Genomic DNA, 17,820 nt, shown 5'->3' with positions numbered 1-17,820 from the left:
AATTTCCTCTTGCAGCACTATATGTGGCTCGCACAGTGGAAGACGGAAGCACCATGAAATGTGGGATACACAAGATAACTGAAAATGTGAGATGTTCTTGATGAGTTGGTGGTGACCTTTGCAAATTTCTCCAGTTTTGAGGAATTGTCCTTGAGCAAGTCAGTCCAAGCAGATTTTATTTTATTATTTTGAGACAAGGTTTCGCTCCATCACCCAGAGTTGAGTGCAGTGGCACAGTCATGGCTCACTGTAGCCTTGACCTCCTGGGCTCAGGTGATTCTCCTGCCTCAGCCCCCTGACCAGTAGCTGGAACTACAGGCACATGCCACCACACCCAAGCTAATTTTTGTATTTTTTAGTAGAGGTGGAGTTTCACTGTGCTGCCAAGGCTTGTCTCAAACTCCTGGGCTCAAGTGATCCGCCTGCCTGGGCTTCCCAAAGTTCTGGGATTACAGGCATGGATCACTCCTCCCAGCCCCAAGCAGATTTTATATCATGATACTTTGGGCCAGCCCTCTTCTGATATAAATGGAATGCTTAGCTGTAGATATTGAGAGATTATCCTGTTTCCAAAGAACTCTCACTTATCCCTATCATTTCCAGTTATTCTCCATTCAAAACTGGCTGGGCTTGCTGTCTTAATCTATTTGGGCTGCTATAACAAAATATTATAAACTGGGTGGCTAATAAACAACATAAACTTATTTCTCACAGTTCTAGGGACTGGAAAATCTAAGGTCAAGGTGTCAGCAGATTTGGTGTCTAGTGATGGTGTACTTCCTGATTCATAGACAGCACTTTCTTGCTATGTCCTCACGTGGCTATAGATACAAGGCTCTGGGGTCTCTTTTATAGGCACTGATCCTACTCATGAGGGCTCTGCTCTCATAAATCACCTACCAATGGCCTCACTTCCTAATACTATCACATTGAGGATTAGGATTTCAATATACAAATTTTGACTGAGCGTAACAGTCTATAGCAGTCAGTCTATAGCATTCTGCCCCTGGTCCTCCAAAATTTGTGTACTTCTCATGCAAAATACATTCATTACATCCTAACAGCCACAAAAGTCTCAACTCTTTCCAGCATCAACTCTAAAGTCTAAAATCTAAAGTCTCATTTAAATGTCATCTAAATCATATATGGGTGAGACTGAAGGTACAGTTTATCCTGAGGCAAATTGCTCTCCATCTGTGAATCTGTGAAATCCAACAAGGTATGTGCTTCCAAAATACAATAGTGGGACAGATGTAGGATAGACATTTCCATTCCAAAAGGAAGAAATAAGAAAGAAGAAAAGAATAATGGATCCCAAGTAAGTCCATACTGCAAGGTAAAATCCATGAGATTTTAAGGCTCAAGAGTAACCCTCTCTGGCTTGATGTCTTGACCTTCAGGCCCACTGAGTGTGTCACCAGGAGACTGCCTGGCAGTCCCACCTGCAAAGTTCTGGCAGAGACTCTGTCTAGTCCTTGAAAGAAAGGCAATGGTCCCCCACTTTTGAAACCATGAGGTAGATGATCTCTGACTCTCCTTTGTGTTCACTCTTCTATTATCTTGAAGAATAGAGCACTAATTCTATGGTTCTCCTGTGAAAGCCAATAAATCTGACAGGTTTTCCTCATTCCTTCCCATCTTCATCAAATTAAGGATTAGGATTTCAACATATGAGTTTTGGGAGTTTACAATCAATCTATAATACTTGCTATATAAGACTTCTATAACAAACGCCTCTAAAGCTATAATGACATTTTAATATTAATGTCAATTACAAAGTATAAGCTATAAGCCCATTAGATAGAACTTTGAACCCCTGACAATGAGAACTCATGTTGACCTGAATGAACAGAGAGTATTTTGGTCATTAAAACTAAAAGCTAAGAATCTTTTTGACCAAGAAGGGAATTAACATTTAAAACACCTGGTTTGTGCCTTTGTACATTATATTATTTAACTGTCATATCTCATATCAGCAAAATCGGCACTATTTGCTCTATTTTATGGATGAAAGAAAATACAACTTAGAGAGATTATTTCCCTAGCTCAAGGCTGCAGAGTCAGTAAGTGAGGAGGTCAGCATTGAAATCCAAATATTGAATGACAAAGTCCGCACTAACCACCCTCGGACACTAGTGACACAAGAGATGATGTTAAACATGAAATCTGGATATATTGAAACTCAAAATGAGACAGTTATCCCTTAAAATTTTTTATCCTGATAATGTATAAAAGAAAATTTTAGTTTTATATTACAGCGTATGTTTCTGTATCTTTTAACATTTTTGTGTTCTTCATTTTCAACATAGAAGAGAAAGACTTCAGACTCAGAACATTAGGCCAGCAATAGTACCTTGCTAGAATTTAATAAATTTTTTAGTTTTCATAATTTGTATTTTGATTTTTCTCATCTATTTGTGCTAAGTGATACTGATTTTCCATCAGTAGTAGTAATACAAAGCTCCAGTGTTTAGATATATTTAATTTTAATGTGTCAATTTAAAGAAAAAACAGCATCTAAATATAAGTAATGGTGACATTTGAAAGACTGATGTGTGGGAAGCACATATTTTGTTTTAGATGTGATGCTAGAAATTCTTAAAATAATGTCAATGCTTGAATAATATGATGTGTAATTTCCTCTAAAATTTCTCAATATTCATTCTGTGCCATAGACAACTGAATTTTTAAAATATTGATCCCAGAACATGACAATGTTTTTCTTGCACCATAAAGAAAAGCTTATTGTTTCCATTTTGAAGGATTTTTAGCAATGTTATATACTAGATGAACTACCTAGAAAAATTGTAGTTTAAAAACAGTCCTCCACTCCTAGGTAAAATAACTTTTACCTGGAGTCCTACAGGTAAAATTCAAAAATTGACCTAGAACAATTATTCTAACAGTATATTTAAATATATTTTCTAAAGTTTCCATACTGAAGTTAACCTCAGGGAAGACTTTCCTTGTATCTTTGTACCTTGTACCTTTTTACCTTTTATCTGGTACCTTGTACCAAAAGCATCTAATGCAAATTTATTGACTTCTTCAATAAATATTTATTCAGTACCTACTATATGCTAAGCATTGGACACCTGGGATGTATCAGTGAACAAAATAGACATGATTTTATGAAGCTTGCCTTTGTAGAACTAATTGGAAAAGAGAAACAATAAATAATATATAATAATAAGTAGTAAAAAGAATGTAATAGCTGATTCGAAATAAGAAAGATTGGAAGGCAGGAGAGTGTTGAGATTAGGGTTGTGATTAGGGTTGTCTGAGCAGGCTTCATTGAAGGTGACATTAAGACAAAGACTTGAAGAGTCTCTCGCCAGTAAGAGTAGGTAGAGGAAAGTACAAGCACAGTCCCAAGGGAGAAGTTCAAAAAATATCAAGGAGACCTGAGTAGTTGTAGTGTAGGGTGTAAAGGAGTGGAATGGTGGGAGGTGAAGTGTCAGAAAGGAGATAGAATAACAATGATCTATCTTATCTTTTAAAAGATTCACCCTGTCAGCTGGTTGCCAGAAGAGAAATAAGAATGAAAGCTGGGGGACAAGATAGAAGGACATTATAATAATACAGGCAAGAGATGAGAGTAACTTGGACCAAGGTGGAGGTGGAGAAAAGTCATCATATTCTGGATATATTTTATAGATAAACAATTTCTGGATGAATTGGATATGGAGTGTGTAAGAACAAGAGGACAGTGCAGGATGGAGCATTGGAGGGTGAATCACTGTCACTGTAGCACAGGGATAAATTCACACTAGGTATTTGGCTGTTGGGCATCCAGATTTTAATGCAATCTTCTAAGCTCAAAAAGGTTAATATAAGAAGAAAAATATGTAAAGTGTGTGGGCTTTGCCTCTATGACCAGGTAGATCCGAATTATGACCACCACTTCTTGCTAGAATCTTCCATAGTGTTGACTTTTGAAGGTGTTTGTGTATGTGTGTATTTGTATAAACATAGGATCTTGTTAATTTTCATCTCTAAAACCCATCACTAATGACTTAATTGAAATGCAACTCGGTGTTCTGCTAGTAAACAGTCCTGATGTGTATGAAGTATAATATGAACAGTGATGTGTATGAAGGTATCTCAAAAACAAATGATGCTTAATCCAACCAATGTTTCCCCATCCTCTTGTGAAGAGTTGTCACTTCTGATTTATTCTAGCTTAGTATCATCAACATTTGTTAAGCAGTGTCCCACTGGGGTCTTTGCTCCTTGATTTGTTGTTTTTTTAAGTAATCATATGCTGATGAGATTGGGTTGCAGATAAAAGATAGTAACTAAATTGCACCAATGAAATATCAGTTTGGGTGATTCAGCAGAGGCACACATTTTATTTGACAAGTATTTACTAACCTTCGGCCATGTGCCAGGCACTGGGATCATAATGGTATAAAGATACTGTCCCTACCTCAAGGTGAATGATGATAAGGTATGTTTAGAGCTGTGACATTACTAGTGAATGAGGAAGAAAGAGATGGGTTTCAAATGTATATTATTTGTGTACATAGAAAACAAAGATATTCTATATAAGTTCTCAAAAAATACACCATTTCTCAAGAAACATACCATTAACCAAACTTCAGCAAAAGTATTTGAAGTGGTTTGCTGTGTCCCCACCCAAATGTCATCCTGAATTGTATCTCCCAGTATTCCCACATGTCATGGGAGGAACTCGATGGGAGGTGATTGAGTTATGGGGGAAGGCCTTTCCATTCTTGTGATAGTGAATGAGTCTCACAAGATCTGATGGTTTTAAAAACAGGAGTTTCCCTGCACAAGCTCTCTCTTTGCCTGCTGCCATCCATGTAAGACGTGACTTGCTCCTCCTCACCTTCCATCACGATTGTGCGGCCTCCCCTGCTATGTGGAACCTTAAGTCCAATAAACCTCTTTCTTTTGTAAATTGCCCAGTCTCAGGTATGTCTTTATCAGCAGTATGAAAACAGACTAATACAGTGTTCAAAGATTCTTCTCTCAAATAGTACCTGTCTCTGAGACTGAAGTTGTTTTGTTTTTTTGTTTTGTTTTGTTTTTAGAGTCAGGTCTTACTGTCACCCAGGATGGAGGGCAGTGATGCAATCACAGAAGCTCACTGCAGCCTCAAATTCCTGGGCTCAAGTGATCCTCTCACCTCAGGCTCCCAAGTGGCTATGATCATCAAGAAATAAGTCAAAATAAGAGTTCAAGAATACAATGTGTGAACTCAACAGTTCCCCTTCTAAATATTCATCCAAGAGAAAGAAATATAACCACCCAATGACTTACACAACATTGTTCAGAGCAACTTTCTTTGCAGCAGCTCAAACCAGAAATAATTTAAATTGCATTCCACTTGAGAATGGATGGACAAATGGTGGTATATTCATACAACGGGGCAACACTCAGCAATAAAAAGAAAAAATCCAATGCTTATAATAGCATGGATTAATTTTGTAGACAATTTTTTGACTGATGGGAGTCAAATATTAAAAGGTACATACTGTATGATTCTATTTACATGAACCAAAAATAACCAAAACTAAGCTAAGGTGTTATAAATTAGGGAGACACTTTCTTGGTTGATGAAAATATTCTATATCTTGATTATAGTATTGATTAGATGAGTATATACATTTGCCAAAACTCATTGAACTGTGCTCTTAAAATCTGTGCCTTTTATTATAGGTAAATTAGACTCTCAATGAAAAAAGAGCAGTGAGGGGAATAAAATTTAAGTATTGAGCAATCAGAAAATTACATTAAATAAATTTAGACTCTAAGCAATACAATGTTATAGTGGCTTTTTCTAGACAATAGGGATGCTACTGCCATATATATGACTTATCACATTAGGGTATTTTAAATTGTTTCTTCTGTTTCTTTCTCCCTCATTGAAATATGAGCTCTTTGCAGGAACCTCGTGAAGAGCTCAGATATGCTCTTTGTGAAGAGCATAATGCATGTCACAAGGTATTTTTTAAGAATCTGTCAGGTCCTCAGCCTAGGAAAATCATACAAGGTACCAGACTGGTATCTTGCAAGGTTTGCTTTGAAACTGCTCTATATTTATGTCTTGCCCCATCTGGATCTGCTCCATGTTTAATTCTCTCATTTTTTTCTTATTAGTTTTTCATTTGTTTCTATTACAAATTCAACTTAAAAAGCATACTTTCCTACATTTCCATCCCAACACCCAAAGGTGTTGACCTTTTCTTATGATATAATTAAGGGCCAAGATTGGAAGTAAGTATTCTAAAGCATAACAGCCATTGTGGTAAAAATAAAGGAATTCTCTAGTGAATTTGATTCACTCTGCTCTATTTTGCAGGTTTTTTGCATTATGGGTTATTGTGTTTAGGTCATAAAATGTTTCACATCTTGCTGTGCTAGCAGCTATATCTTATTTGTCCGTTGCTGCTTTTCTTCAACAAATACAAGTGAAATAAGGCAAGAGGCTACCACTGCAGGTGAGTCCATGAGACTGGCTGCCCATGAGTAGCCATGAATTACCATGTCTACCTAGTTTACCACAGTCTTGCTTCACTCCTGAATAGATGTACATTAAAGTCATGTGTGCAGTGAGGCAGCTTTTCATTACTGGCAAGGCTAAAGAAACTTTGGAATAAATGGCTCATTTTTACAATGCAAAGTCTGATTTCATACCAGAACACATTTTAGATTATTTGGTGTCTTTGGTTGGGCATAAAAGCAATTGAGAACTGGGCTGAAAGGGCTTAATGGTGTTTTATTTAAAGTGATAATCCTCTGAGGCATTATTCTTCTCTCAAATAGTACCTGTCTCTGAGACTGAAGTTGTTTTGTTTTGTTTTTTTTTGTTTTGTTTTGTTTTTAGAGTCAGGTCTTACTGTCACCCAGGATGGAGTGCAGTGATGCAATCACAGAAGCTCACTGCAACCTCAAATTCCTGGGCTCAAGTGATCCTCTCACCTCAGGCTCCCAAGTGGCTAGCAGTACAGGTGTCCACCACCACACCTGGCTAATTTTAAAAAATTATTTTTAGTAGAAATGGGGTCTTGCTATATTGCCCAGGTTAGTCTCAAACTCTTGGCTTCAAGTGATCCTCTCACCTCAGCCTACCAAAATGTTGGTATTACAGACATAAGCCACTGTGCCTGACCTGAGACTGAAGTTTTAAATGCATCTTTTCTGAATCCTATAAGAGGATTTCTGAGGGTAATTCAAATTTGTTCCTTTGAAGAAGAGCTATAATACACGTAAGAACTTCAAAATAGAGCAATCTCCAAAGAATAGGGAAGATAGGGAATTAACAGCGAGAAAAAGCGAACAAACAAACAAACAAAAAAACAACTTGGGCTGTCTGTGAAGACACAGAGCTCATTGGATTCTGATGACTAAGAAAAAGACATCCTGGTCAGGCCCAGGGGCTCATGCCTGTACTCTCAACATTTTGACAGGCTGAGGCAGGAGGATTGCTTGAGCCTAGGAGTTTGAGAGCAGCCTGGGCAATATAGTGAGACCCCATCTTTACAAAGAAAATTTTTTTTTTAATTAACCAGGCATGGTGGCAAGCACCTGTGGTCCCAGCTACTGAGGAGGCTGAGGTGGATTGCTTGAGTCTGGTGGGTGGAGGGGATGCAGTGAGCCAAACTGCACTACTGCACTCCAGCCTGGGTGACACAGTGAGACTCTGTTTCAAAAAACAAAAAAAGAAAAAAGAAAAAGACATCCAGAAGTCCTGATGTTTTAGAATATACAGTACATCTATGTGTCTACATTTACAGGGTGAGGGGTGCTCTGAAGAGCTCAACAAATGGTCCTATTGAAGGAAGACAATGTTTATGATGAGGTTTAGGAAAGAATGTTAGCTTAAAGAGCAAGTGACATCAATTTCTTCATTTACTTAACCCCTCTAAATTCTGAGTGACCTGATATAAGGAAGCTTATCCAAAAGGGGGCCTATAAAGACCCAAGGGCATATAGAATATAAACGCTGCTTGGAAATTTTTCTATGAATGTGGAAAATTACTTCCAACTCTGTCTTGCTGTTTTCCTTTTATTCTGACCTGTGTGGTATGAGAGAATGGATGAAAAGAAGGCTTATTAAAGCTCTGAGGTGGGGAGGCAACTCAGAATGTTCAGAAATCACTGAACAGAGTTAGAATACCTGATCTTGTCTCCTGGCCCTTATCTGTACAGAAAAAAATAAGGCTTTTATAAATTTCATTTCAGCCCATTCTAACTTTCTTTAACTCTGGCTCAAATCTTTTTCAGTTTGAAATGATCCTCGACCCTTCTCTTTTTCTATTTACCCAACTGTCTTCATGTGGAATAGTTTGTATCTTTAATCATTTGTGTTGTTCTTCATCAAAAGATGGTTACTGACAGAAGTTACCAATGTTTTTTTTTTTTTTTTGACGGAGTCTCGCTCTGTTTCCCAGGCTGGAGTGTGCAGCGGCATGATATCAGCTCACTGCAACCTCTGCCTCCCAAGTTCAAGTGATTCCCCTGCCTCAGCCTCTTGAGTAACTGGAATTACAGACACAACACCACACCCAGCTAATTTTTGTATTTTTAGTAGAGACAGGGTTTTACCATGTTGGTCAGGCTGGTCTTGAACTCCTGACCTCATGATCCACCCACCTCAGCCCCACAAAGTGCTAGGATTACAGGCCTGAGCTACTGCGCCCGGCCAGAAATTACCACTTTTTTTATTTGCTGCTCTGAGGCTCACTGTAAGGATTTTCTGCAAAAACTGCTCATATGGACCCCGTTTCTCACTATTACTTTCATTTGGAAAATTTATTACTATGACACCAAAAGCTGCTAAGGAATCTCCCAGTAGATCCCTTGTCGGGCTCTGAAGCTCTTAGGTCCTTCAAAGGGTCCTGCTTTTGCAAAATCAATCAACTCATTTCTACTCCATTGATGGTGGAAGTTCAAGTATCACATTTTATGAGAACAGGACTAGAGGTCCCACTTGAGTAGTTCCTTTAAGACTTCAAGATTCCATGCTGCTATGAGGAATGTTCAGGAATATCAAGCCCATTTTGCTTCCTGCTCCCCAATTTGCTGTCCACTCCAAGCCTCCATCCAAAGGTACTCCCCTGATCCAAGGTACTCCAGCAGCAAGCAGAAGGACACTTTTTATCCTTCTCTAGTTTGTCTGACTTTCCTAGTTCAGATTCATACAAAACAACAGACACCCCAACTAACTTTTCTCCTGAAAGGATTCATATGCTTAATCTGCTTTCATTTATACAACTTGCTGATTTTCCTCTGAGAGAAGTCTACACAGGCTTACTTGCTTAAATATGAATAAAACTGAGACCCAGAAACATTAAAAGACCAATAGACCGCCGACTGGTCTTAACCTCTGCAGTCCCACCCTCTTTCCCTCCATATTCAATAAAAGGATAAGGCTAGGCACCAGGTCATGCTGTATTTTCATCATGTTGTATTTTCAAAGGTTGCTGATGTACCATAAAAAATTCCGTCTTGATTATATACTCGAGTCCCCTGGTAAGCTGGGCATGGATAGTTAGATATGGATAGTTCTTTTTTAATCTTTGAGTTCTGTATTTCTTTTTAAGCCACATTTTTGCCCAATTCCTGTGTAATCAGATAACAAGAAAGATATCAGAGATCAAGTTTCATCTGGATAACTGGGTTATGATTTCATAGAATCATGGAATCACAGTGTTAGATGGGGCTTCTCACACCTTTCTTTATTTATATAAAGAATTGTATCTCACACTTTATTTATATAAAGTACTACAGACTAGAAAGTTTAAAAGACTTGTTCAACTCATTAGCTTTTAGATTTTCTGTCTTCTAGATCAGTGTTTTTATTTCCTGAGTGTTTAGTATGTTAAAGATTCTTTGTTAGATTCTGTATTCTGCCCTCTGAATCAAGAAACAAGCCCTCATTCATTCATTCATTTAACAAGAATTCATTGTAATCTCTTGCTGGGTGTTAAAGGAGCTGCAAAGAATTATGAAATATTGGTTGTACCCAAATCTTACAATCTGGTTACAAGTTTTAATGTGCATACTAGTAGCTCCATTTTTTTCATTTAAATAAGATAAGAAACATCTGGCTTGCTACACTTAATATTAGACTGAAAACAATATTGTTTTGATATATGGTCATTTAAACTCTGTAGCGTATGCTTATCTTTAAATATTTTGCAATGTGGCTGATGAAGGCAACTTGGCCTTCATACCTAACCTTTAAGGAGAGGGTGGTTGCAATGTGACTTTGCAACTCCAGTTATTTTTGCATTCATTAGAAGTTGCTTCAGAGATGTTCTAAAGCTCATCCTCCATCATTTGCTTTCAGTAAGGTTTTTAATTACCGCACACTCAGTGAAAATGAAAGTTCTGACCCTGTCTATATTCAGAACATATGGCACATTTCAATCCCATCAACTTGTGGTGATGGGATGTGACAGTCTCCAAGAGGCTGATTTCTGAACTGTGACATTGCCAAGCTTGTGCCTTGCTGGCATTTCTATCATGGAAGGCTCAAGAGCGTTGCAGTCAGTGTCAAATACAGGGGACCTTGGGCAATTTGCTAACCTTTCCACACATTCATTCGGTGAAAATTGCCCAGCAATCTGTAACTACAACCTGCAAGCTTGCAATGAGGACTGAATAGTATGTGAAGCATCTAGCACAATGCATGGCACATAGTATACTTTCAATAAATATTAGTTTCCTTCCTCTTTTTCCTGCATAAAAAAACTTGTGATAAGAAGTTAAGTGTACAGACCGGGCGCAGTGGCTCATGCCTGTAATCCCAGCACTTTGGGAGGCTGAGGCAGGCAGATCACGAGGTCAGGAGATTGAGACCAGCCTGGCTAACACGGTGAAACCCTGTCTCTATTAAAAAATACAAAAAATTAGCTGGGTGTGGTGGCACATGCCTGTAGTCCCAGCTACTTGGGAGGCTGAAGCAAGAGAATCGCTTGAACCCAGGAGACAGAGGTTGCAGGTGAGCCGAGATCGCACCACTGCACTCCAGCCTGGGTGACAGAGCAAGATTCCATCTAGAAAATAAATAAATAAATAAAATAAAAAGGAAAGAAGTGTACATTGCCACTTATTTCTGCCTCCTTGCTGAGAAATAAGGAAAGTACTTAAAAAACAAACAAGTTTAAATATATGAAACAGGAATACTTCCCAAATGGTCTCTAGTATATGGATTATTCTGTGGCTGCAAGAGTGAGACAGTGAACTGGATATATATACTTTTATGCAAGCTAAGTACCTGCTGACTCTGTAAAATTGTGTCTGGGCATTTGGTTCCCTGTATAGGTACAAAAGCTAGACAACTTTCCAAAGCAGACAAGAGCATCAACTTTGAGAGCAAAATAGCAAACTTATGATCAGATTATCTTCTCCTTGTTAAATTAATGAAATCTGAATTATATATGGATATGAAATTGGGGTGAATGTGAAAGGAGAAAAAAGAGAAAATGGTTATTTTCTAACCCTTGTTCATTCATTACTTTGGAAAGTGGTTCATTTGAGTGAAGGCTAGGGTTAGTCAGTCTATGCTAATCTGAGAATAAGGGAAACTGAGTTAGGGAACACATACAAATTTCTCTTTGGGATTTTTTGACAAAGAACCAAATTTCAAATCCTATAAAAGCAGTCTGGTCTCAAAATGACCAAATAGCTTTTGTTGTAGGCTGAAGATTTAAAACTCTATGTAATTTAGTTTCAAACTTGAAAAAAAATTTTATTGTACACAGTTGGCCCTTGCGTTAGCTTTATTGCCTTTTACTCTGTTTTGTAAATCCAGTTGCACTGAATTTACCAAATATAAGAATTAATTTTTTTCTCTACCTTGGTTATTAGGAGTATATGTAAGCAATCTCCCAAGATTACTGAAGTGTTTACCAATTCCTTCTTACTTCCTGGAAGTGGTATTTAACATTACACTGCTACTGGTAATTAGGAATAGAGAGTCCCTTGAAGAATTATTCGGGGTGGATTTTGTCAAGTTTTCCTATTGTTCAAAGGAGTTTATCAAATATAAATGGGAGGCATAAGGACCCCTGAGGAGACTCAGAGGTCTGGGAAGCAGGAAGGGATTTGGACAGCATAAGACTACAAAAAGTAAGATGATTTGATTTGTGGGCATAAGAATAAATGAGTAAACTGCAGTTATATGTGTGGAAATTTACATTGTCGTGCACAGCTATGTTCCTCCTTTCTAATACACCCTCATTTCCTTTTGTGAAAGGAATTACTCCCCAGTTTGTGTAGTCTTGATGGGAGAAAAATTCCATGTGCTCTCATCTACAGTGGAAACCAACACACCACACCCTTTCTGTCCTGTTCCTGATATAGCTGTGGCAGCCAGTCTGAAAAAATATTTTCTCCAGGCCTTTCATCTTGAATGAATAATGAAGGCTGGAAGGAATATTTGGAAGTCACACATCGCAGCAGCTACATCAGCAGAAGGGACAGCATCTGTCCAGAATTCTCACAATAGGGAGATTGCTGGCTTCCTGTTTCTTAGCCTTTCAGGGGTCCGTCCAGTTGCCAAACTCATTTCCCCAGCCTTCTGTGGATTCTCTCTAAATTCCCAGTATTCTCTAACAAATGTCCTTTTCTGTAAGTTAGCCAAAGCTAGTTTCTATTGCTTGCAACCAAGAAATTCTAACTTATCTAGGCCTTCATTTTAAGCTTGCCTCAAAATACATTACTCTTTATCAATGAAAACGTTGGATTATCAGTGGAGAATTCTTAAAATGAAACGGGCTCTGGAGATCCTGTAAGCCAACCTCCTCCTCCTCCTTCAGTTTTCTGGGGCAAATATGAGACATGTGTTGATTACCCTGTAAAATGTGGGAAGATTTTGGCATAAAGGTTAAGTGAGTTGGCAAGATATGTCTTTCCAAAAAATGGAAAGAAAGGGAACACAGTTCCCTTGAGACCTCTGTTGTTTACTTGTTGATGGATTGAGTTGATGTTGGACAGGCATAGGAATGGTGTGGCAAGAAGTATCATTTAAAACCTGTCCAATATAGCATTCTTCACCCTCAACTGCTCACCAGAACTGGTTATTTCTAGTTACTCTCTGCACTTGTTTCTTCAACTGTACAGTGGAGATGAATACTCACTACCTCATAGAAATACTGAGAAATTTAAAAGAGATGAGTGTGTGTTTCTGGGATCAGAACTTAACAAAATACTGAAAGTTATTTTTAAGAACAGAAATTGTTATGATATGCATTACAATGGGATTTTTCTGGATACCAGAACTTCTATTAGAAAGAGATGTTTGTAATAATTGCAAATGCAAAATAAGTAAAGCAAACATTATTTGCATAGTATGTGTTGCATATAGAAATGCAGCACTCAGGTCCCCCTGCAAAGGACTTGTTGCCCAGCTGCTGAGAATGCGGTTAACTGGCAGCCCCTGCAAGGACTGCCTCAGCTGCAGAGAGCCCCCTCACCAACGATCATGTCCTTCTGTGAGCAGCCACATTTATTGGCTGTTGGATTAAGGTGTGATAAATGTCCTGGCCATTTCAGCCCACTGTCAGACAGCTCTGTCAGGCCATGATAGCTCCAGAACTTCCCAAGAGATTAGGCAAGGCTGTCACTGGGCTGTCATCACAGCACAACTTCTCCTACTGCCCAACCTTGCTTGTTTCCCTTTCCTCCCACAGATGTTAGTCCGAAGGGCATTCCTCAATAAATATCCTGAATGCTAAACTCAGAATCTGCTTTCAGGGGAACCCAATCTACAACACCTTGTATTGGGCATTTTATATTGGATTGTTTTAGGAAAATTCTGAGATAGACCTAATATTTTTCCCATTGTAACAAATGAGGGAATTGAGATTCAGGGACGTAAGCAACTTGTCTAAGGAAACACATGAAGTGACAACACTGGGACTCAAATGTAGTTTGGTTTGATTCCAAAAGTCAATTCCTTCCAGAAATTATTAATATATCTCTTCTTAGTCTGAAAGAACAACTTTCTTCCCCAGAGGGAGCAGCTGGGCCCTGCGCTTTGGGCAGGGTCAAAGTCATACTTTCCACATCATTGTTTAGGTTGGTTCAGAGGAGATTTCCTTTTGCCTTTATTCCTTGGCATTCTTCTCTACTTCCTGTGTTAATGCCTATTGTTTTAGCCTAAAAATAGCAAGTGTCAGCTTTTACACATTTTCAAAAATTTCAATGTAATTATTTAAAAATAGGCTCCGAAATTTTGTTTTCTCTCTGTTGGCAACCGTGGTTGCTATGGAGTTCAAGTAATAGATTGTGATGTTTAACACTGAATTAATTACTACTTCTCACTCCTAGGGAACATCTAATTATACATATTCATGCCAAGCAGGATTTGGTTTTAAGGAAACTGTGCGTGTGTGTGTGTGTGTGTGTGTGTGTGTGTGTATCTGTGTGTGTCTGTGTGAATGTGGGTGTCCCTTTACTGTAAAATGCATACTGGGGAAGGGTCTTGGTTTGTGATCTTCTGTAAGACTTATTTGTCCTCCTTAATTACATTTTCTCCTACTAAGTCTAGCCTATATTGAGATCAAATTGTTCTCTTATTCATCCAAATGGCTTTTCCTTTTACATGCTAATGGTGGCCTCTTTTATTTTGAAAATTATGTTGAGATAAAGCAGAGTGATTTCCTCTATTTCTTCCCTCAGTTTTGTTCTCTTGATCACATGTATCATGAGTAGTGAAGTATTACTGGATGTATACTTTTGGAATCGTATATCTTTTGGAATCACATACCCTCCTGAGTCTGAAGCCTGGTTTGTTTGTGTTTTTTTGTTTTGAGATGGAGTCTTGCTCTGTCACCCAGGCTGAAGTACAGTGGCACAATCTTCGCTCACTGCAACCTCCATCTCCTGGGTTCAAGTGATTCTTCTGCCTCAGCCTCCCAAGTAGCTGAGTTTACAGGTGCCCACCAGTACACCTGGCTAATTTTTGTATTTTTAGTAGAGATGGGGTTTCACCATGTCGGCCAGGCTGGTCTTAAACCCTTGACCTCGTGATCTGCCTGCCTCAGCCTCCCAAAGTGCTGGGATTACAGGCATGAGCCACCACACCCAGCCTGAATCCTGGTTTTACCACTTACTTAATTTATGGCAGGTCATGTCAGGATTCAATCTCAACAACTTCCTAAAATGGGGATGTTATTATCTACTACATGGAGTTAGCACAAAGATTCAATCAGGTTTTAAACAAAAACATTGTGCTTCTTGTTTCTCAAACTTTAATATGCAAGATAGAGATCTTGCTAAAATATAGATTCTGATTCAACAGGTTAGGCATAGAGTCTAAGGTTTTTCATTTTTGACAGCCTCCCAGTTGATGTTGATGCTGCTGTTCCATGGACCACACTTTGAGTAGTGAGAATTTAAATAATGCTGGGCACCTACACAAGGTCAATGCATTTGCAGCTATGAGTATTGGCCTTTAATTAGTCTTTATCCTATACCTTTTGAACAGAAGAGCACAAAAATTCACACCTATTAGTGACATGGAGAAACTAAGGCACAGACAAGCAGATCCTATAATGTTAAGATGACTCCACTGGATGTCTCTGCTGCATTTTGTAGCCTTACGCTGTGAAGCTTCTATTTTTCCCTGTATGGGCTGTTGCAACTCCTGCTGCTCCTAATGGGAGTTACCCAAGCATGTGTTGAGGGAAGAACATAAATCCTGTGGTGTTTTTATATACTCAACTAATAAAGCAGTTTTGTGTTTTCCCAAAAAAAACCAATTTCTTGACACTGACAGTAAGGCATTGAAAAATTTACACCTGTTGATTGACTCATCAGATGACCATTTAAAAAACCGGATTTAGGGTGTTCCTTTGAAAATTGAGCTGTGGCTCAAAAGCTTATGAGACCTAAGTGGTTGAAATTGCACCAAGCCACAAGGTGCACTTTTTAAATACTGAAATGCAGCCCCTTGCTTAAGAGATCCTGAGATTCTTACAAAACAAGAGTTGGCAACCTTTCAGATGTGAGTAGGTGGTGTTTCTTTTATTTATACTCTTTTCATTTAGGAGAGGTGGTAAAATGTTGCTTATTCAAGAAGGTTAGGACAAGACTTTTCTGTATCCCTTTTCAGTCATTCAAGAGAATACGTCTCTCTGTAACTTCTGCCATGAACATCAGTAACATCATTTTATGTTTCGTGGGCCCCCTGGCTTCTTTCCAGGAATTTCTGTGTTGTTCTGGCCTGCACTTTTCAATCATTTTTCCCTTGCTGGCCTTTGCCACTCTATCTTTTTGCATCTTGGACCAAGGCTAATACGTACCTACCACTCTTCTTTTTCCCTCAGGCTTTCCTTCATCCACATCTCCATAGGACAGGGTGGAAAAACAAGGATCACCAAAGCCCTCCAATGGCTGTCTTGGCCCAACATGTTTTGACTCCTTGCTAACTTCTCTGACCTCCTGTCCTACTATTCACCCCTCATTTACTGCATTTGAGCCACATAGACTTCCTTGCTGTTTCTTGAATATAACAGATATATTCCGCTTTAGGGCCTTCCGTTGTTTCCTTTGCCTAGAACTCTCCCTGCTCCCAACCCCTTCATAGCAGCCTTGGTAACTCCCTCCTCTCCTTTAAGCCTTACCTTCGCAATAAAGCCTTCCCTGACTATTCATTTAATATCGCAAACTGCACATCACGGCTACACTCCCACTCCCACACTCCAGTTTCCCCCAACCCTGCTTTGCTTTCTCTTTTTTCCATAGTGCTTGTGACCTTTCCACATGTAGTGAACCAAAGTATTTGCACCTCCTCATCCTTTCCCAACATTGCTGATGTGTGCTGAAAATGCCCTTTACGCCCACATTAGGCAAATGTAAGTCTTCAAAAACAGCAGAAACACTTCTTCCTGAAGAAAAGTTAAAGCTGTTCTATGTCTTAATTTTGATGGTAGCTATACAAGTATACACATTTGTCAAAACACATCAAAATATACACTTTAAGTGGGTGCAGTTTACTGTATGTAAAATATACCCCAATAAAGTTGATTTTTAAAAAGACGGTATAATCATAGACCTTGGGTCATGGTGTAGGTATGGGGTAGGCTGACATTATAGGGTAGGGGTAGAAGTTGGCATTTAGGAAGGTATATTTCTTCCTGGGAAATAGTGTGGACAAAGAGGTCAGTAAAAAATTACATAATGCAAATCACTCCCTCTGGCTTTGAGTGACTAGAGAAAATCCCTGGGTGTTAAGCTCATTTGCTTTGTCCTTGTTGGCTCTTCTCTTACTTGTAGTTACTGTTAGAAATGAGAAGATCTCAGGTCAGTTTAGTTGTATCTTGTTCTAAAGTGAGTTGATTCCGTTTCAATCCTAAAAGTGGTGGGGATTCGAATCTAACTCAGAAAACTGCAGTTTTCATCTGAGAAGAAAACTGCTCGTATTTCCTGTTTGAAAAACAAGCTAGGAAAAGTAAATGATTGATCTCTTCTCATGTTAAATCCATCCAAAAATTCCCATTTTAAACTTTTCAAAATGAGTCAGGCAAGTCTCTGATGGGAGAAAACACAGTCAAGGAAAGTAACAACAATAAAAAGAAGATATAAAACTAAATTCCATTGCCTATGAAACACTCCCCATGATAGCATGGAAGGTTTGAGAAAAACTCATCAGTATCTGAGTATCAGTCTTAGCCCTGGACATATTAAAACCTATTGTCCTAAACTTGGAAAAGTCTTTAAAATGCTCATAGAAGCACATATAATTAAGTAGCTATAATTACAGTGGGTTTTAGGATCTTTTTCCATACTCCAAGTATTCTATATGTAACAGAGAAATCTAACAGCTGACTCCATCTTGCC

General features: G+C 38.6%; 1 protein-coding gene and 1 long non-coding RNA gene across 11 annotated transcripts in view, besides 1 other annotated feature; one reads left to right on the top strand and one right to left on the bottom strand.

Annotated features, from left to right (window-relative positions):
* Positions 1 to 17,820, top strand: part of CPNE4 (copine 4) — a 506,038-nt gene that overhangs the window by 205,718 nt on the left and 282,500 nt on the right. The window lies entirely within an intron of this gene.
* The window catches only part of LOC105374113 (uncharacterized), a 69,117-nt gene that overhangs the window by 38,038 nt on the left and 13,259 nt on the right, over positions 1 to 17,820 (bottom strand). The window lies entirely within an intron of this gene.
* Positions 13,910 to 14,204: a silencer, noted in NCBI's record as "tiled region #7150; K562 Repressive non-DNase unmatched - State 24:Quies". NCBI's record gives its function as "represses a minimal TATA promoter and a strong SV40 promoter by Sharpr-MPRA in K562 cells {active_cell/tissue: K562}" and the evidence as "EXISTENCE:reporter gene assay evidence [ECO:0000049][PMID:27701403]".

Source organism: Homo sapiens, chromosome 3, assembly GCF_000001405.40.
Source record: "Homo sapiens chromosome 3, GRCh38.p14 Primary Assembly".
Lineage (NCBI taxonomy): Eukaryota > Metazoa > Chordata > Mammalia > Primates > Hominidae > Homo > Homo sapiens.
The sequence above is the reverse complement of the archived record's forward strand: the minus strand, read 5'-3'. Positions and strand labels throughout refer to the sequence as shown.